This window comes from Homo sapiens, chromosome 1 (genome assembly GCF_000001405.40).
Source record: "Homo sapiens chromosome 1, GRCh38.p14 Primary Assembly".
In the NCBI taxonomy this organism is placed as follows: domain Eukaryota; kingdom Metazoa; phylum Chordata; class Mammalia; order Primates; family Hominidae; genus Homo; species Homo sapiens.
In genome coordinates, this window is record NC_000001.11 from 147,915,876 (window position 1) to 147,937,779 (window position 21,904).

The window sequence follows — 21,904 nt, forward strand, 5'->3', positions numbered from 1 at the left end:
TAGTACACCACCTTTCTAGCCTCACCTCCCACATTTGTCTACACATAACTGTGCCCCAGCCTTACAGAACCATTGGCCAGTCCCCAATATGGAGAGTCCTGGCAGATCACGATGAAAGTCATGTTGTTTCAGGACTCTGTGCTCTGTCCTGCCTTTTTCCTACTGTCAGCTTCTTCTCATCCTATGAGAGTCAGCTCAGTTGTCTTTCTCTTTATGAAATTTTACAAACTTCCCAAGAAAAGTCAGTTGCCCCCCCCTTTGTGGTCCCTCAGTACTTTTGTGCCCTTCTATCATAGCACTTACCAAATTGTTGTATTTACTTGCTTTTCTCCCATCTGACTGCAAGCAACTTTAGGACAGAGATTTTATCCTATATCACTGAATATTCAGTAGTTAGCACAGTGCCTGGAACGTTGTAATGTTTGCTGAATGAATGAATGATTAGTGAGACATCTCCCAGGGCAGGAAGAAGATAATCAGCCAAGCACTTCCCAGCAATAGAGCAAGTTGACACTACGCAGGCATGTATCTGAGGAAGAGGTTCACTGAAGGTCCCAGGCGTTCCAGGCTTGAAAGCAAGCAAACTTTCTTTGTCATAAGTAAAAATAAAGGAAGAAAAAGATATTTTCATATGAATTACTGGATGTTGTCACCTAGAGCAACCCCAGAAGCCACATATTAAAGATAGCATCCTTATGTTAAAGATGCTGTCACCCAGAGCAACCTTGGAAGCCATGTTATGAAGATGTCAGTTTTTGAACAGTTGTTGATCAGAGGGCTTCCCACCCTGCAAATTCCCATTAATTGGACTTTTAGACCTTACATGAGATGAAAAATAAACTTTTATTGTATTAATCCACTCAGATGTCAAGATTTATCGGTTACGGTACCTAGCATTATCTATTTACAGAAATTGGTACATTGAGGTTAGGTGTGATTGTAACAAAAACTTAAAATATGTGGCTTAACAGTCAGTGATTGGTAAAAAACAAAAATCAAAGCCTACAAAGATGGAGACCCAGGTTTGTACTATGCAAATATTTAATAAAAATATTACCTGTGATGACTTGTGTATTTGTTGTATATTGCTGTGTAACAAATCACTCTAAAACTTAGTGGGTTAAAACAACAAGCATATCTTATCCCTCACAGTTTCTGTAGGTCAGGAATCCTAGAGCAGCTTGGGTGGGGTCTGTTGGAAGACTGCAGTCAAATATAGGTGGGACCTTCAGTTATCAGAGGTTTGACTAGGATGGTAGGATCCACTCATTCACATGGCTGCACAACTACCAAGTTAATGCTGGCAAGTTGGTTTCTCTCCACTTGGGCCCCTCCATGGTGCTGCTTGAGTGTCCTTATGACCCAGTAGCTGGTTTCCCCCAGAGAAAGTGATTCAAGAGACAAAGCAGAAACTTCAATGTCTTTTATGACCTAACCTTGGAAGTCGCATACCATCGATTCCACCGTATTCTCTCAGACTGCCCCGACCACTGTGGAGAGAATAAACTAGAAAGAAGCAAGATTTAAGGCAAAGACATCAATTTTGGCTCTTTTTTCTGTTTCAATGATTTCATTGTACGTATAATATGCATTGTAATCTGCTCTAAATGCTTCTGTTCAATTGTCACCATAAAGGAAGCCCTCATCCAAGGATAATGTGTGGTCATGACCCCTTTGGCCAGGACAGTTTTTGTGTCCTCTTTTTTTCTTTTCCTCCAGCATCTGTTTTTCTCTGATACTCAGCTTTCCTGAAAACTGTTTAGTGTTTCTAATTCATCCAAGTTTTCCAGTTGTATTTTTCTTTCTCATCTGCTGCAGTTTTCATCTTTAAACTAGCTAGATCTGTAGATGGAAGAAAAAATGAGGTACCTCTAAAATTGAGTTAGATCAATGTAACCAACAGAAAATGATGAGATTAGATAAACACAAGAGACCTGAGCCAATGGAATATAACTTAACAATTAAAAAAACTCAGTAATATCTATAGGGCAGATATTATGACGGGGATGATATTACAACAATTGTTCATCTCTCTAAGATCTCTCAGATCAGAAGGTCAACTTTCTTCAGTTTTTTTTCATAATTGTATCAGCCTATGGCACTAAATTCTAGGACAACTCTATATTTTTCTTGAATTATAGTTTACTTGTCTTCCTTTAAATTTTTTTTTTTTTTTTTTGAGACGGAGTCTCGCTCTGTCACCCAGGCTGGAGTGCAGTGGCTCAATCTCGGCTCACTCACTGCAAGCTCTGCCTCCCGGGTTCACGCCATTCTCCTGCCTCAGCCTCCCAAGTAGCTGGGACTACAGGCGCCCGCCACCATGCCCGGCTAATTTTTTGTATTTTTTAGTAGAGACGGGGTTTCCCGTGTTAGCCAGGATGGTCTTGATTTCCTGACCTCGTGATCCGCCCGCCTTGGCCTCCCAAAGTGCTGGGATTACAGGCGTGAGCCACCGCACCCGGCCAAATATTTTTTAGAAATTTACTTATCCAATAGTCAAACAGGATTCTTCTTTACATTTTTATTAATTCTGCTGACCTAATTTTACTGTGTCTAGTCAGGTCCTATATCTATTCTGGGATGGATGAGATTCTCAGTTTTATAGATAAGTAATAGACAGGGAAAATAACAACAACTAGACAGAGAATAACCTGGAGTCTGTGGAAGGTTTCAGAGACAAGAGAAGAAAACAATAAACACCAAAAGTAAAAGAATGGCATAATTTCAAAAAATCTTTACTTAAAAAAGTAAAAATTTACTTAAAATCTGTTTGTACTCTCAAAAAAAAAGGGTTAAAGAAAACATGGACTCTATAAAACAATACATGAAACAAGATAATAAGGTACTAGATTGAATTGTAAAAGGAGCTGGCAGAGTTAGCAAACAATGCCACAGCAGAATTTAAGAATAAAGAGCAGAATTAGCAATACATAAAACCAAATCAATTTTGTAAAGAATCAATATCAGAAATTCTCCCAAATGCCAAAAGAAAGGACAAAGAGATGAAAATTATCAAAGAAGAAATAATAGATATGGAGGAAAGACAATAAAAATCCAACACATGGATATCGATGCTCCTGAAGAAAAGTCAGGACAAGTGAACCGTAAGCTCTAAAGATACAATAGAAGGAAATTTTCTTGAGCCGATAAAAGACCTAAAATTGCAAATTGGAAGGGATTCATCATGCACCAGGGAAAAAATCTAGATAAATTTTGATTTGCAAGTATAAAGACATAATTCTATAATTTAGAAATGTAATGGAACAACCCCTGCAATGGTTTTTGTACCACTGTTTAACAACTATGTTTTCACATTCTTGTCTGCTTGTGAACAGAGAGTAGGGTCATACCTCTCTCAATAGGAGGTGAGGCTTCCTTGAAGATAATAGATATTTCAAATGTCAACTGCTGAAAAGAGAAAGATTCTAAGATGAGAAAAGAGAATTTGGAAGGTGGGCCTTAAACAGGAACAAAAGGGAATTCCTTTCTCTGAGCCTCATTCTCTTGAGCCTACAATCCAAAGAGTCATAATATGCTCGCTATTGCTTCCAAAAAAAGAAGGGAAAATGGCATCTGCCAGATGGAGGCAAGCTAGGAACTAAGTTGGAGAGTTAATGAGTTAATACAAGTCAAGATCTTAAAACAGTACCTGGCACATGGTAAGCATTCCACAAATGTTAGCTATCATCACCTTCATAATTATCATTCTATGTGATATGATCACTGTAATTTAGCATAGCCTTATTATTATTATTGAGACAGTCTTGCTCTGTCACCCATGCTGGAGTCCAGTGGCACAATCTCAGCTCACTGCAACCTCCACCTCCCAAGTTCAAGCAATTCTCCTGCCTCAGCCTCCAGAGTAGCTGAGACTGCAGCTGCATGCCACCATGCCTGGCTAATTTTTGTATTTTTAGTACAGACTTGGTTGCACCCTGTTGGCCAGGCTTGTCTCGAGCTCCTGACCTTGTGATCTACCCACCTCAGCCTCCCAAAGTGCTGGGGTTACAGGATGAGCCACTGCGCCCGGCCTAGTCTTATTATTAAATGATGTACCTTAGACTCAGCTTTGATAGCAATTTAAGAAAAGGGTTTATGTGGTCTGGAGGGTGAAGGAGAGAGATTCCTCCTCTCCCTCAGAGGCCACTGTTGCTCATAGGGATGAGTAATAGCCCAAAAGGGAAAGGGAAGCTGGAGTGAGCATAAGGAACCAAAAACTCATGGCTCTCAGTTTCAGCCAACCCTCTCAACGTCGCGCTAGTCCTTCCAGTGCCAACTGTGGATGAACAGAGCATATATCAAGTTACTCACAAAGGAAAAAAAACATCAGGCTGGCATCATGCTTCTCCACAACACATTAAATTTCAGAAAAGAGAACATTATCCACAGAATATTGCGGATGAAAAACTTAAGCTGAAAACTCCACAACAAGCCAAATTTCATTCATGTGTGAAGCCAATTGAAAGGCACTCTCAATTATGCAAAAGCTCAAAATACCTGCAAACCCTTCTTTAAAGAAAAAATGTATTTCATAAGCCTATATATATATATATGTAGATATATATACATGTAGATATATATATAGATATATATATAGATATATATATATAGATATATAGATATATATATAGATCTATATATATAGATCTATATATAGATATATATAGAGATCTATATAGATCTATATATATAGATCTATATATATATTTATTTTTTTGAGGCGGAGTTTTACTCTTGTCGCCCAGGCTGGAGTGCAATGGCATGATCTCGGCTCATTCAACCTCCACCTCCCGGGTTCAAGAGATTCTCGTGCCTCAGCCTCATGAGTAGCTGGGATTAGAGGCGTGTGCCACCACACCTGGCTAATTTTTGGATTATTAGTAGAGACAGGGTTTCACCATGTTGGCCAGGCTGGTCTCGAACTCCTGACCTCAGGTGATCCACCCGTTTCAGCCTCCCAAAGTGCTGGGATTACAGGCATTACCCACCACGCCCGCCCAAGAGAAATATTTTTTAAAAGAATTCAAGGCTCAAGAATAGTGGCTCATACCTGTAATTCCAACATTTTGAGAGGCAGAGGTGGGAGGACTGCTTGAGCCCAGGAGTTTGAGACTAGCCTGGGCACATTGTAAGACCCTGTCTCTACAAAAATTTAAAAATTAGCCAGGCATGGTGGCACATGCCTATAGTCCCAGCTACTTGAGAAGCTGAGGTGGGAGGATCACTTGAGCCCAGGAACTATAGTGAGCTGTGATCATGCCACTGCACTCCAGCCTGAACAGCAAAGTGAGATGCTGTCTCAGGAAAAAAAAAAAAAAAAAGAAATCAAAAAGGCAAAGTATGAAAGAGGCTGATGATGAATACTGAAGACATTTAAGCATAAAATGAATTAAATGTAACTATTTTACGTATAATTACAAAACAGAAGACAAATATCATAAATATTCCCTAACAAAAATATATTTTTAAAGTAAGGTTTAAAATCCCAGATTACACCAACATAAACTTGGGTATTGTGTGGGGTGAAGGGAGTAACAAGGAGAAACGTGAGAAAGTAGAAGTGTCCTGGTATTCTCAACGTACAAAGATACTATTTTATTCTGTATGTTAGTAATAAGAAAAATATAAAGTTGTGTGTGTTATTTTAAAACAAAATGCATGCCTTCCAGATTACTAGGAAACAAAACAAGAAACAAGGACTACACAGTCCATACAGCAAAAAGAAGAAAAAACAGAAAAAAGGCAAAAATAAAGACCAAACACACAAAATACGAGAGCAGAATAATTAAATCAAACCAAAATATTGATCTTTATTAATATAAAATATAATATGCAACAAAGACATACTGTGAATCATTTTGCACTGAAAAATAAGGCATTGGACTGTATGAAGCTCTCAGAAATATATGGAGATATGGACAGAAAAATAATAGTGATAAAAGACTTCAGTCCTTGACGAATTGATAGAAGACAAAAATAGAGAGGACCTAAATGTAATTTACAAGTCTGATTTAATGGATATGTAATGAAATGTTAAACAAAATACTTCCTATGTCTTGGAGTTTCAGTAAGGCTACATAACCAAGGACAATAAATGCTCAATGTCTATACTCTCTAAAAAGTGGTACAAAGCACAATCTAGAATTGCTTTAAAAAAAAAAAAGTAGCCCCCAAACAGTCTTGCAACTCCTAGCTCACAATCCACCTCTGGGTTATTTAAGAGAACGATAAGGGTTAACTGATAGGAGCAGTCTTTGAAGAGAGTTGTCAGACTAGAAGAAAGAGCTGTGGTGTTTCTCACCCCCTTCCCTCACTCCCCTCCAAGTGAGGGGCTCAAGGAAAACCCCTGAGACTTTTTGGGAAGCACTTGCTGGGAGGGAGGCCTGACCTCTTTCTCACTAGTCATTAGTGGCCTATTGGTCTGCAGAAGTTCACAGGCTCATCTCCGGCTACCACAGTAGCCAAGCTTGCAGGACCTTGATGTGTGTCCTCAGAATTTGCTGGAACATAGACACAGTGACCTTCCCTTGCCCAGGGAAAATTGGAGGCTTGAATAAGTGTTTCTTGTGGGCCAAATTCTTCACCATCATATTATTTTATTATAGTAAACACCACCAAAAAAATAATCCAAAAGGTAGATTGGTTAACTTACTCATGAGATAACCATATGATGGAATGTTACTGAGTCAATAAAAATGCTATAAAGTCTTTGGCAAAAGAAAATATTCATAATATACATTTTTTTTGAGACACCCAGGCTGGAATGCAGTGGTGCAATCACAGATTATTACAGCCTCAACCTCATAGGCTCAAGCAATCCCCACACTTCAGCCTCCAGAGTATCTGGGATTACAGGTGTGCACCACCATGCCTGGCTAATTTTTTTTTTTTTTTAATAGAGACAGGGTCTCCCAATGTTATCCAGGTTGGTCTCAAACTCCTGGACTCAAGTAATCCTCTCACTTCGGCCTCCCAAAGTGCTGGGATTACAAGTTTTAGCCACCATGCCTGTCCTATAATATATTTCTTTTTTTTGTTGTTTTTTGTTTGTTTGTTTGTTTTTTGTTTTTTAGACAAAGTCTTGCTCTGTCACCCAGCCTGGAGTGCAGTGGCACAATCTCGGCTCACTGCAACCTCCGCCTCCCAGGTTCAAGCAATTCTTCTGCCTCAGCCTCCCAAGTAGGTGGGATTACAGGCATGTGCCACCATGCCCAGCTAATTTTTGTATTTTTAGTAGAGATGGGGTTTCACCATGTTGGCCAGGCTGGTCTCAAACTCCTGACCTGAAGTGATCCACCCACCTCGGCCTCCCAAAGTGCTGGGACTACGGGCGTGAGCCACCATGCCCAGCCCCATAATATATTTCTAAAATGAAATATAATGAAAACTATGTAACAACATAGTATGCTCATTGTCTTAGTTCAAGCTACTATAACAAGATACCATACATTGGGTGGCTTCAACAACAAACTTTAAAAAATTTTTTATTCTTAAGTTTTATGGGTGCATAGTAGGTGTATATATTTAACAAACATTTATTTCTTACAGTTCCAGATGCCAGAAGTCCAAGATCAGGGTGCCAGCATGGTCACTTCTTGGTGAGGGCCCTCCTTCTGGTTCACAGACAGCTGCCTTCTCACCATATACTCACCTGTCAGAAAGAGAGTGTGCTGGTCCTTCATCTCCTTGGAAGGGCACAAATCCCATCATGGGGCTTCACTCTCATTACCTCATCTAAACCTAATCAGCTCCCAAAGGCCCCTCCTCCAAATACTATCACATCGGAAACCAGGGCTTCAACATATGCATTTTGGGGGTACACAAACAGGATCCATTTTTTCAATATTGGATCACTAGGAGTCCATAGCACTCCTTGTGATCCAGTTTTGGGAAAATCAAAAGGTATATGTGCATTGGTGTGGGTATGCATCACGTTAACCAAGAATAAGAATGAATATCCCAGACTTTGGAAATATGCCAGTGTTGTACTCCTTTGCAACTGTCTTAATGTCATGGTGGCAAATCTCAATCCAGTGGTAAAGGTGGGCACTTCTTTAAAATAAGCAAATGTCCCTGCTGGTAGTTATCCCAAAAAGAAGTTAGTCCTGGAGCAAGAAGTGGTGGGGCAGTAGGGAGAGCTTTCTGCTCTGCCTGAGCACAGACAGCAGGGGACCAGAAGTTTGGAACAGTTCATACATTAAGAATATGAACATCCTTTACTTTGAACTTCAACTAATATATTCCATTTAAAATTTAATCTCTACACATTCTTCCCCTTTGTTCACAAAATATATGGATCAAATTCATTCTGCATGATAATTATATTAACAGAGAATCCCAAAATTAGTTTTAATAAATGGAAAAAGTTGGTGTTATATATTTCAAATAATGCCGCTGAATCTTTCCAAATTTGGGAGCTCTACAATCATCAATCTTTTCAGTATAATTTGAATAACTGACAACCAAAACTTTTAAACATACATTTATAAATATTAATAAATAAATATACATTGAAACTAATTAACAATGAAGGAAAACTGAACGTAAACTCATAATAATAATAATGGGTAAAAATTATTGCATACTTACTATAAAGTGCTTATTTTCCTGAGGGCTTTATGTATATTAATCTTCATAATAGCCTTATGAGATAAGGTACTATTACTATCTCTATTTTTTAGATGAGGAAACTGAAGTACAGAGAGTTTAGTAACTTGCATAAAACCACACAACTATTTAATCTTCTTTATTCCTCAGGAACACGGCCTCAAGAACAACCAAGCACTTGATACAGAGTTAACTCTAACTCATATGAACCAATCAGTGCACACCAGGTCAGCACCAAGGTCAATATATCCAAAATGAGATTGTATAAGAGGAAAGGACCGGAATGCACCTCCAAGAAGGTCTGGCAAAGTGAGAATCAGCTAGGCAAGAGGTTCAAAGTAGACTCAAGGAAGATGAAGGGGAATTCTTGAGCCAAAGCACAAGTGGTTGGAAAAGATTTTTAGGCTTCCTGAGGCTGTGGAGTGAGCATATCTAGAGAAAGGGGGGTGGGAGTGGAAAAAAGGAAAGAGCAAAGCTAGCACCACTCTGGCCCTTAGTCCCCTTTCTCTAGGCAAATCAGAACTGGCATTTTCCTAGTGTGAAGGCGCTGACTCACTCTAGGAAAGTTTTGAGGTGGGGAGCAGAGTCTCACAACCAGTCCCCAGTCAGTGTGCATAAGAATCTCCTGGGAAGCTGTTAAAAATGCAGATTACTTCTAAAAAAAAAATTGAATGCACAAAAGCAGAGAGTAGAGTGGAGATTACCAGGGGCTGGGGGGGGGGATAGTTGGGTGGGGTAGGGGAGATGTTGGTCAAAGGAAATTTCAGTTAGATAACAAGAGTAAGTTCAAGAGATCTATTGTACAATATGGTGACTATAGTTAATAACAATGTATCCATTTTTGAAAATCTCTAAGAGAGTAGATTTTAAGTATTCTCACCACAAAAAATAAGTATCTGAAGTAATACATATGCTAATTACCTTGATTTAGCCATTCCACAATGTATACATATTTCAAGACATCATTTTGTGCATGATAAATGTATATAATTTTTATATATTATGACTCCCAGATTCCTCCTCAGAGTCACTTTCAGAAATCCCAAGTCCACTGGTCTACATTAGGGCTTATGAATCTACATTTTAAATAAGCCCCCCAAGTCGTTAGAGAACCACACTTTGAGAAAACTGCACCTATACATTTTCTAGGTATCAAGTATAGATACTGTCCATGGGACCATTGGGAAATAAACACTTTTCCTCTGAATACTTGGGGTTTCCTGTCCAGCTTACACTGGTGACTTAGTGGGGCAAACAGGGGAGTTCAGAGACTCAGTGAACCTGGCACAGTAGGCAAAACTACAAGATAGGATGTCTATCCATGAAGGGAGACAGCGGGAGTAGGATGCCACAGAATTGGTGATATCATATGTCTCAAAAGATCCCAGACTTACAACTGCATGTGAATCTACAACTATGTCACAGTAAGTAAAAATTTTCAAGAGAAAATCCCTAACAGAGATCATCCAGCCACTGGCATGAGCAGGTGCTATGTATGTGCATGGAGAAGAGGTACTAGGGTGTCTCCCAGGGATCTAGTGTTAGTGTCAACTCCTGGGCCCAGTCCTTTGCATTAATTTGGAGGAAGGGGATGAAGTAGTTAGCTGTCAGTATGTGGATGGTGCTGGGAAGTGTGAGAGTACCGTAGGTATGAACATTGCAGTTGCTATGACAAAGGACAGTAAAGTGGTGTGAGCAAACACTCATCCAAAGGACACAGACTGATCATCTTGTCAGTCGACTCTTTGTAGCACATCTATGGGACTGGCTGCCAATCTCTGGATGAGTGGCAAACAATGGCTACTAGTTATGAACATGACATATTTTGAAAAGCTCCCTTGGAAAAAGCACAAACTGGGGACTCAGAGCCCAGATGGTGTGACTGTCCATGGAGGCAGAACCAAAAGATCCCACTATTCTAAGAGGATGGCAGCAGCTAGAGTGGATCGGGAGAATATTACCAGCGGTAGAGATGGGAGGACAAGCCATTTTAGTGTCAGAGTCCACCACCAGCAGAAGAGACTTGCTTTGAAAGGAGAGTCAATTGGATACTAAATGCTGTGCGAAGGTTTCTAAAGACATTCCTCAATCAAAATCAGGGGATAAAGCAGTCGCTTGAATCACCTAGGCCTGTCCTTTACCTGGACACAAGTGGTACAGTAGGGAGAATTCTGAATAGTGTCACCCAAAGCTTTGCATAGGCCTTAGGCCAGCAGGTATTGCACACCTTTCTCTGCTATTCCTCGTTACTGATATTCTGATCCCCACTGTGCACCCCAGTAAGCCACCAAGGTAAACTGCTTGCCTTGATAGTCTCTTTCAGCACTCTGCACTCTACACACTCTTGAATGTCAGTTAGGTGCTGTTATGTGGGAATCTACCTGCTTACCTAATAGACATAGCCTGGACACAAAGTTCTCTGGTTTATGACACTCCCATTGTACAGCTGCCTCCACAGCTCCTTGAAATTCTGGATCAGGGATTGGACATCTGACAGGTAGTTTTGACTGCTTGGTATCACAGAGTTCAATCCAACAAAAGGAAGACATGTTCCCTTGTGTGTAATGAATCTGCAGGTCACTTATTCAAACTATAGTAGTCTGAACTCAGATGCTGGATGTCAGGTCCCCTCAGGATTGTCTTCCTGCGTCTTGACTGCAGCCACTCCTACACAGGGTGATTTCCTGGGCTGGAGCCAGTTTGCAGGACTATGAGACTATATAGACTACAAAGCCTAGCTAGGCCCCAGGTCGGCGGCAGAGTAAGCCCCACAGCAATGCGTTAAGCCTTCATGAAATGAGTGTTGAATGAATGAGGTAGTGATTCAGTGTATATTTGATCCACTGCAACAGGTGGGAAGGGGGCAGAGGCAGCTACTTCCTAAAATAACCCTTCTTCAGACTCTTAAAGAACTGATCCTTGTTTTGAATTAAAATCTATCTTCAATTAACTTCCAGTCCTTTGCCCTACAGATAATTCGTAGTGCCACATCAGTTCTACCCATTCTTTCACATGAAGACAGATGTCATGTTCTGAGTCATCTTTCTTCGCCTCCTTCCAGCAGCCCTTATCTGGTGGCTCACATTTGAGCGAGCTCCAATATGTCTCTGTAGAATCTCTCTCTTCTTTTTTCTTTTCTTTTTTTTTTTTTGAGATGGAGTTTCGCTCTTGTTGCCCAGGCTGGAGTGCAATGGCGCGATCTCGGCTCACCGCAACCTCCCCTCCCGGGTTCAAGCGATTCTCCTGCCTCAGCCTCCCTAGTAGTTGGGATTACAGGCATGCACCACCACGCCCGGCTAATTTTGTATTTTTAGTAGAGACAGGGTTTCTCCATGCTTGTCAGGCTGGTTTTGAACTTGCGACCTCAGGTGATCCGCCCGCCTTGGTCTCCCCAGGTGCTGGGATTACAGGTGTGAGCCGGCCCGGCCTGTAAAATCTCTTCAAAGTGTGGTACATGGAGTGCAGTACTCCACCTGTGGCCTGACTGATATGCAGTACAATATTATCACTAAATTGCTACAGACAGTGTGCTTTTCATTGTTGTCACAGAAATGTATTTGGTTAGTTATATTTGTTCATATCTCATCTGACTTTCCAGTCTTCCCTCACTTTGTACAGTCATATTTGCCGAGTCAAGTAAAAGTTATAACATTTAGGACACAATGCCCGACTTACTATAATTACCATTATTATCTTAGGATCATTACAAAACAGAATTACCACTTAGCTCTCAGGCCCTACCTCCTTCAGCCTCAGAAACGTTAACGCTACCTTGCATTGCTGCTTTTAGCACCGCCCCTAATAAGCCCCGCCCCTGGGGCTTCCGCGGCGGAAGCCTAGCGTCCGCCCCACCCACCCCGAGCCCGAGGCGGGGCTGTGGATGTAGCCGCTGATTGGCTGACTGGGGCGCAGCTTGACGGCGTCGGGCTGGAGAGCCGCAGTCCCGGCTGCAGCACCTGGGAGAAGGCAGACCGTGTGAGGGGGCCTGTGGCCCCAGCGTGCTGTGGCCTCCGGGAGTGGGAAGTGGAGGCAGGAGCCTTCCTTACACTTCGCCATGAGTTTCCTGATCGACTCCAGCATCATGATTACCTCCCAGGTGAGTCACCGCCTCCCGCCCCGACACCCGTCCGCCTCCCTTCACCGAATCGCCCTCTCCGGTCCTCCGCGGTGCGGGCTGGTCCGGGGTCTCGCTCCTCTCTTACGCGGCCTGCGCCAGTCACTCTGGCACACAGAGAGGGTGTGCGATTTGCTGCGGCCGGTTCCCTCAGCCCCGGCTGTCAGGAGGCTGGCCTGCGGCCGTCCGCGTCCCCACCCGGCATCCATCCCCGGAATTTCGGTCCACTTTTGGAAGCGGTCCGCCGACCTCCAGGCTAAGAGCCGGCGCCGCCAGCTAAGGCGGCGGTTCTAGGAGCTCCTCGAAGCTTCCGGGCTGCGCCAACTGATCCTGGACTGGGGAAGCCTGTGTGGTTCTGGGCGCGCGGTGTGCGACGCGCCAATACTGGATACTGAGGACACGTCAGTGCAGGCTTTGCTGTTAGATGTCAAATCCTGAATCCGGGTGTGGAGAAATTTGCTGCTTCAAAGTATCAGTATAAGGTAATACCTATGCTTGAAAGTATAAGGTTTCGTTTTTGCACTGACACCTCGTCCTTTATCCTCTGCTTAGTTACCCACCTTTTCCGGATGTTTTTCTGACCCTCATTTCTTCTCCATTGGCCACCTTCATTTGTTTGTACAGTCAACAAACATTTATCGACCATTATATAAAGCTCTGAGCGTAAAAACATGTAAGACACTGTCTCTGCTCAATAGAAGTTTCGTCTAGTTAGCCTCTTGCTTTTACCATGTAATCTATTGTTAATTATTGTTTCTTCCTAGCATTCATCATAGCACTGGCATCATTTATGTCTGTGTTTCTGATTTTGTTTTTTGAGATCCTGCCTTGTTCATAGCTGTATCCCCACTTCCAAATGCAGGCATTCAATAAATAATTGTTGGCCAATATTTGTGAAGCTCAGACTGCCTGTTGACCTTCTTCCCCTCATCTTTCCAATAAAGATTTTGTGTGTGTGTGTTTGTTTTTGCTTGTTCTTTCTCTCAAACGGCAAATAACAGAAACAGTTACCTTTGGGGGCTTAAAGTGAACTAAATTTGTGTTCTTTGATTCAGTTTTTGTATTGCTTCATCCTAATACTCGTCTCCGTAGAGCGGAGCATTGTCCTTTTCTCTTCAAAAACTTGTTTACAATATTTAAGAAAATAAGAAAGAAGGAAAAGCCATCCATAATCCTACCGCTCTAATGCAATAGTTTTTCATTTTTAAAATTTACCACCTTTTCTATAGTTTTCATAAGTATTGTTTTTATTGGCTGCATAGTATTCAAATGTATTAATGTAAAAAAACCTAGACATGTAACTCTTCTGCTTAAAACCTTTCTAAGACTACCCAGTGCCCTTGGTGACAACTCAGGATTATTTTTAGCCTTAGTACCAATTTAAGAAAAATAACAATATTTAATTAGCTTTTCTTTTCACTTAGAATAAAGATAAGAATGTCAGTAGAAAATTGGCTTTGCATTGCAGCCTCTACGATTTTTAGCATGGATATAATTGATACGTTGAACCAAGGAAGTGGCTTTCTAATTTTGTATGCCTTATAATCATAGACTTTCACTTCACACATGTATCCATATGCAGTAATTAATTGTTAAACCTGGTTTTTACAAATGTGGAAGAAAGACCCAAAGATTCCTTTGCATGGAATGTTCTCTGTTCAGATATTTATGTGGCTACTTTATCATCCTTTCGGTATTAATAAAAATGTCGCTTTAGGAAGGTTTTACCTGACACCCTGCCCACAACCAAAGTAGCTTTCCATTTCGGCTGCCTTCTTCCTCATTTCCATGTTTTATTATCTTCTTGGCATTTATTACTATGGTTCATTTGTATATTCATGTGTTTGTTATCTGTCCATGAAGTCCAAGATACTGTCTGTCTTGTTCTCTCCTGTATTCACCAGCATCTAGATCAGTTGCAGGCACATAGTAGAGTTGTAGTGAATATTTGTTTAATAAAAAGCACCTCTCTAGAGAGGTGTGGTTACCTTGGAAACACCACCATTGCCCCCTGCGCCCCTCCCTGCTCATTTTTTCTGTTTTGTATTAACTGAAAGGTTTATTTGAAATGAAATCTGAAATCAGAGGTCACGTATTGAATCTTGCTCACCACGGCACAGGATGAAGTTCAAACTCCTTTACATGGCTTTTCAGGTCCCTTATTGATGGGACCCTGGCTCTTCTCTCTTCAGCTGTGGCTCCAATTTATTCTTTAGACTTCCTGAACTTCTTTTAGTTCCCTAACCTGGCCATGCTATGGTGCCTCCAGATTTCCACACAGTGTGTTTTCTCTTTCTGGGCCTTTTCCTCATATCCCTCCCCTTTAAGCCTTCAGATCTCAAGTTGAACACCCAAGAAGCTTCCCCTAGACTGGACTAGATGTCCCTATACCTACTGCCATAGTACCCTTCACCTACTTCCCCTGTAACAACACTACCACATTGTTTTGTAATTACTTGTTTATCTCCTCCATAGATTATAAACTCCTTGAGAGTAGCATTCATGCTCTCATTTGCCATTCTATCCCTTGGACCTGGCACATATTAGGCACTAATAAATATTTGTTAAATGATTAAAAGGGTGAATAAATGATCCAAGAAAGGTGTCTTTTATAGTTAATTCTTTAATAACTGTCCTGCTGATGGCCATCTTTTTTTTTTTAACAGTAGCTAATTTTCAACCCAGAAGTCACTTTTTAAAAAGCAACTGTTAACTAACTCATGTTTTAAGCCCTCTATACCGTCATAAGACTTATCAGTTCCAGAGTACACTCTTAAGTCCTAAGGTCAAGACTCTGTACAATTCTGAAAGTATTAAGTCTCATTTTTAATAAGAAGCTATACGCCTTCCATTTTATTTGCAAAGCTATTTGAAATTGCATTTTGCTTCTGCTTTCTTTTTGGATCCTCTATAATCTTGCCAGAATTTGTGTTTACTTGGATGTAAATGAATTCTCCAGCTACTTGTGTGTGTGTGTGTAGTTTAAGTCTTTTTTTTTTTTCAACTTTTATTTTATTTTAGATTTGGTACTTGTGCTGGGTATATTGTGGGAGCTGAGGTTTGGGGTACAAATGATCCGGTCACCCAGGTACTGAGCGTAGTACTCAATAATTAGTTTTTCAACCCTTCCCCCTTCTCCCCTCCCCTGCCCCCAAGTAGTCTCCAGTTTCTGTTTTTGCCATCTTTATGTTGGTGAGTACCCAATATTTAGCTCCCACTTAGAAGTGAGAACATGTGGTATTTGGTTTTCTGTTCTTGGGTTAATTTGCTTAGGATGATGGCCTCTAGCTGCATCTGTGTTGCTGCAAAGGACATAATTTTGTTCTGAAAGTCTTTTTAAGCTTTCTTTGTCAATGTGAAAGGAGGCCACAATGAAATATTAAAGGTATATATCTGTTTCTCTTTTCTTCCATTCCCCTCCCCACCATATAAACTTAAAATTTTTGCTTGTTTTCTCTTCCATTTCATAGCAATCTTGGTGATTTTTTTTTTTAATCATCCATTTCCACTATACATACCACCATCAGTCCTAAACTGCCCAACTTCTCTGTCTTCAGTCGTGGCTTCATAAGTCATATAAATATGGTCTCTAAACTCTGAATTTACATCTGTCTCCACCGGTAAATATTTATAATAGCCAAAGGATATCCTGGACATTTTCTCCTAATCTGTTTGACCCTTTCCTTTTCTGCTTGATCTAGATGCTTGGATCCAACTTACTTTCTTAAACCCTCTTGTTCGTTTACCTTCATGTATATGTAAGTCCACACTTGGATCACTGCTATAGTTTGTTTACTACTAATACAGAGGCCTGAAGGCTACTATAGAAAATCACATAGCTGTGTAGTTTGCCAACGCCAGGAGTTTAACCCTCAGCTCACTGAATTATTCCTTTTCTTGACCTTAATCAGCTACTTGTTTCATTCCCCTCAAAGTTTCTCTGAATCTTTGTCACTCTCCTCAAAGCTCCCTTTTCTAACTCACCTCTCTTACTCTTAGCAGATAACCATGCCTCGTACTTACTCAACAAAAGTGAAGCCAAAAGGTATGATCTCCTACTGTGAATACTTTCTGCATTTTAATCTAAAAGGTTATCTGTGTTCACAACCATTCTTACCTCCTTTCCTCCCATTTCAGAAAACGGGGTTCCCCTACTCCGGTTTAAAGCCATTCTACCTACCTTTGATCTTAGAGTAGCGTATTTTGAAGTGGTTAAAAGCACAGAATTTCTAAACAGACAGACTCAATAAGAGCTGAAAAAATAATATTTAAAAAAAAGCACAGATTTTGGAGTCAAACAAGCTTGAGTTCAATCTTGATTCTGACACTTACTATAAATTGATTAACTTCTCTAAACCTCATCTTTCTCTGTGAAAATAGGATAATCAAACCACTGTACTGAGTTTTTAATTATTTTTATAAGATTATAATGCTAAGTACTACTTAGCCTGGAGTATAGTAAATGCTCAATAAAAGTTACCTAATAATATTAATAATAGTATTATCAGTTCATCCTCTAGTATTCCACCATCCTTCTCATCTTTTTCTCCTTACTTGACTGCTGTCTTTCCCCTTGGCCAATAAACTTTCCCTTTATTCCACATTCTTCTCTAGCCTATTATCTAATGTTTTCTTTTTTTCTCATTCCTGGCTCTCCCTAGAGTAATTTGCATTTACTGTCCCCACTGCTTTAGCTCCCATTCATTCTGACCTGCTACACTCTGGTTCCTGCCTCTACCTCACCATTCAAAATTGTTTTCCTTATCCTCTAGTGTTTTCTTCTTGGCACATTGCTCTCCTTACTCTAGATACTATTCCCAGGTGATCTCATGTACTTTGGTGGTTTCAACTCATAGGTATATCTTAGACCTGCCTTCACAATCTGTCTTTTATTCCAGATACTTGCTGGATATCTTGACCCATCTTGCTGGCTGTCCCTCAGGCCCTTAGTGTGTTCAAAAATGAGCTCATCATTTTCCCCATCCTCTGCCCCCTTTCCTAAACCTCTTCTTTCTCCAGTATTCTTTATATAAATTGGGTAGCTTCACTCTTCATCCTGTATTCCAAACTAGTCATCCTTGACTTCTCCCTGTTGATTTTACCTTCTAAATAGTTCTCAAATCTGTTTTCTCCTCTTCTGTCACCAAATGTCTTAATTCAGGGCTTTATCATCTTTCATCTGAATTCCCATAACACATTTCTATAATGTTTCTCTTTCTACACTGTCGCTTCCTTCAAGTGTGTCTTCCACACAGCCACCATACCGCTCTATATAATATAAAACAAATCAGACCATGCCATTTCCCTGCTTAAATAACCCTCACCACCTACAGACTATAATCTAAGCTCCTTAGGGTGGCCTTCAAAGCTCTCAGTGATTGGACATCCACTCCTCCTGTCTAGCCTCATTTTTAACCTCTTCCTTCTTTGAATTTCATCTTCTAGCAGCACCAAACCATGTGTAGTTCCCGGCATATACCATGCTATTCACTCTGCGCCTTTACTCATGCCCTTTGCTATCTGGAAAGCCCTGTCCTCCTACCCCTACCACCTGTTTTTACCCTACCTGATTCGTTTTTTGTTTGTTTGTTTTGTTTTGAGACAGGGTTTCGCTCTGTCACCCAGGCTGGAATGCAGTGACATGCTCACAGCTCACTATAACGTCTACCTGCCAGGCTCAAGTGGCCCTTCCACTTCAGCCTCCCCATAAGCTGGAACTACAGGCATGCACCACCATAGCTAGCTAATTTTTGTATTTTTTGTAGAGATGGGGTTTCACCACGTTGCCCAAGCTGGTCTCGAACTCCTGGGCTCAAGCGATCTACCCAAAGTGCTAGGATTACAGACGTGAGCCACCATGTCCAGCCTCCCTACTTGATTCTTATTCATCCTTTGAGAGGATGGTTTTTATGTTAGGGGTGGTGGAAACCTTTGACTGTGTGATGAATACCTTGAAAGCACTCTAGAAAAATGCACATAACCCCAAAATGTGCATACAATATCAGGTTTTAACCCCAAATTAAAACTTCCTTCGGCTCGGGCATTATCTTCTCCAGAAAATCTGTCCTAACCCCCTACAGATTGGTTTGGTCTCCCTCTTTCATATTGTTTTACAATATCATGTATGTATTTCTATCATTGCACATCCATATTATGTTATAATTATTTATGTACTGTCTTCACTATATTGTGAGCTCCTAGAGGGTAGTAACCATCCTATTCATCTTTGTATCCTCAGCACTTAGCATAGCACATAGGAGTTATTACAGAAAATTTAAGATTGAATGCTGAAGAATAAACCATCTTTTATGTAGACCACTTAGCCATTCAGCAAGCACTTATGGAGAGCCTGCTACGTACCAGGCTTTGTGCTGGATGCCAAGGATACAAAGATTACAAGACAAACATGGTTTTTGTCCTCATAGAGCTTATAATCTAATGTCAAAAAATATTTAAATCACACATTACAAAACTGTATGGTAAGCACTTTGATGAGGGAAGTACAATGTAAAACAGGATTATATAAAAAGAGCAATTTATCTGCATTTGGGAGGGCAGAGAGGGCCTTCCAGGGGGAGTAAATGGCATAACTGGGAGAGGGCTAGAGAGAAGTTCCTTTCAGAGGACATCTACACAGGTCTCGATGTGAAAGAATATGGATCTAAAGAACCAAAGAAGTTCCAGGGGGCTGAACACATGAGTTTGCTAGGCAGCAGGGGCATGATAAGAAGCTAAAGTAGTCTGTGCTAAACTACTGAGTTTACACTTGCTCAGTAAAGTAGTCCCTAGAAAGACATAAAATCATTTTATTCATAAGGGTCCTAGCCAGTTTAAGAAGAAAAGAGTAGTTGTGTCAGTGTGTATGTATAGAAAGTTCTGTTTACTACAGACCAGCTTTGTCAGCTGTCATGTGGCTACGGTCTCTGCCAGTTTGAAACAAAACTGACGAAAGAGGGATCCTGCAATCTCTCGGCTTTACACTGAGATGAAAACCACTTTTATGTAGATTAGGCAGGATGGTGGAGAAGGTAAGAAAACTCTCTGAAGGAAGCAGATATAAAAAATATTAGGCTTTCTACTACTCCTCTAATTTTGGTCTCAACTCCTCTCCCCTGAAGTTTTTATTTTTTAAATTAATTTATTTTTATTTATTTTTGAGACAGGGTCTCACTCTGTTGCCCAGGCTGGAGCACAGTGGTGCAATCATGGCTCACTGCAGCCTCAACTTCCTAGGCTCAGGTGATCTTCCCACCTCAGCCTCCCAGGTGGCTGGGACTACAGGCACACCCCACCACCCCCAGCTAATTTTTATGTGTGTGTGTTTTTTGTAGAGACGGGTTTTCACCATGTTGGCCAGGCTAGTATTATTTTTAAATACTTGCAATCAGGGATCATCCATAAGAAGCAAGTCTCACTCTGACACCTTTTCTTTTTTTTTCGAGACCTAGTCTCACTCTATCACCCAGGCTGGAATGCAGTGGCACGATATTGGCTCTCTGCAACCTCTGCCTCCCAGATTCAAGCGATTCTCATGCCTCAGCCTTTGGAGTAGCTGGGAATACAGGTGCCCACACCCAGCTAATTTTTGTATTTTCAGTAGAGACGGTGCTTTGCCATGTTGGCCAGACTGGTCTTGAACTCCTGGCTTCAGGTGATCTGCCCACCTTGTCCTCCCGAAGTGCTGGGATTACAAGTGTGAGGCACCGTGCCTGGCCACTGACTCCTTTTCTATTTGCAAACTTCTCTGGCTCATATAATGATTATCATAAGATTATGGCAAAATATGTACTTCCATTTTTGTCTTAAAGCATACTCTGTAACATGGATAACTTCAAAACTCCAAGGGCATTTAAAAATTTATTTCCAATGTCATGAGCTTTAATAAGTAGGTCTTATAAGAGTGGATCTTATCTTTAATCCCTGAAATAAGTTAACCGTCTAGTTAGCAGACCTTTTATCATAAAAGAGTTTCTATAAAACATTTCTCAAAAGAAAATATGTATTGACATTCTATCTTCTTTCTCCTCCAGATACTATTTTTTGGATTTGGGTGGCTTTTCTTCATGCGCCAATTGTTTAAAGACTATGAGGTGAGAAGAAATCATTTTGTCATACTTACACTATATGAATTTAGATTGACAAGAAAAATGTCTCCATTAAAGAAACATTATGTTCATTTCCAAGATAGGAAGCTTTTACCAAATAAGTACTATATAACTATTAGATTGGAGAATATAAGTAGACTTAATTGATTTAAAAGGGGGGAAAAAAGGCAAATCAAATATAGCCCAGAAGTTAGGAGCAAGGATTATGTCTTAGTCATATCAGGATATGTACCAATAGCAAATAGTTATTCTGTAGGAGAGAATTTAATTCATAATGTCTCACAAATGTTCCCTTTCATTTGTCTATCTGGCCCTGAATTGCAAGCCTTATATTATAAGTTAATACCAAAATCCCAAGGCTATCAGGGGAACCAGTCCCCAATATTTCAACATAGGTTCTTTCTGTTTTCCTTAAGTGTCGGCCGGTCTGAGAAATAAAGAGAAAGAGTACAAAGAGAGAAATTTTACAGCTGGGCCTCCAGGAGTGCCATCACATATTGGTAGGACCGTGATGGTGACTCCGAGCCACAAAACCAGCAAGTTTTTATTAGGGATTTCAAAAGGGGAGGGAGTGTATGAATAGGGAGTGGGTCACAGAGATCACATGCTGGAAAGGGCAGTAAAATCACAAAGCAGAGGCAAAAATTAGAATTACTGATGAGGGTCTGTGTCCCACTGTGCACACATTGTCTTTATAAACATTTTAACAGGAAATAGGGTTCGAGAGCAGACAACCAGTCTGACTAGAATTTACCAGGCTGGAATTTCCCAATCCTAGTAAGTCTGAGGGCACTGTAGGAGACCAGGGTGTATTTTAGTCCTATCTCAACCGCATAAGACAGACACTCCCAGAGCGGCCATTCATAGACCTCCCTCCCAGAATGCATTCCTTCCCCAGGGTTATTCCTTGCTGGAAAAAGAATTCAGCAGTATTTCTCCTACTCGCTTTCTGCAAGAAGAAGAATATGACTCTATTCTGCCCAACCCTGCAAGCAGTCGGACCTTATGGTTATCTTTCCGTGTTCCCTGAAAATTGCTGTTATTCTGTTCTTTTTCAGGGTGCACTAATTTCATATTG

At 40.7% G+C, this 21,904-nt stretch overlaps 1 protein-coding gene and 1 long non-coding RNA gene across 16 annotated transcripts in view; one reads left to right on the forward strand and one right to left on the reverse strand.

The window, feature by feature from the left end:
* Positions 825 to 12,443, reverse strand: LOC105371229 (uncharacterized). Its single transcript, XR_922074.4, has 3 exons — positions 10,997 to 12,443; positions 7,547 to 7,651; positions 825 to 1,842 (listed from the first exon to the last, which is right to left on the reverse strand). It is a non-coding gene; the product is annotated as an uncharacterized LOC105371229 (long non-coding RNA).
* A 101-nt stretch (positions 12,444 to 12,544) lies between these two features.
* The window catches only part of GPR89B (G protein-coupled receptor 89B), a 97,515-nt gene continuing 88,155 nt past the window's right edge, over positions 12,545 to 21,904 (forward strand). For 11 of the 15 annotated variants that reach the window (NR_183758.1, NR_183757.1, NR_183755.1 and 8 more), the window contains exons 1-2: positions 12,545 to 12,703; positions 20,752 to 20,811. Coding sequence is in view for 7 of the 15 variants with exons in the window: in NM_016334.5 (NP_057418.1) it covers positions 12,662 to 12,703; positions 20,752 to 20,811 (102 nt within the window). In the remaining 8 variants the exon portion in view is untranslated. Of the gene's footprint in view, positions 12,704 to 12,914; positions 13,204 to 16,720; positions 16,767 to 20,751; positions 20,812 to 21,904 lie in introns of those variants that run through there. The other 4 variants (NM_001350184.2, NM_001350182.2, NM_001350181.2 and 1 more) reach the window with 3 other exon arrangements.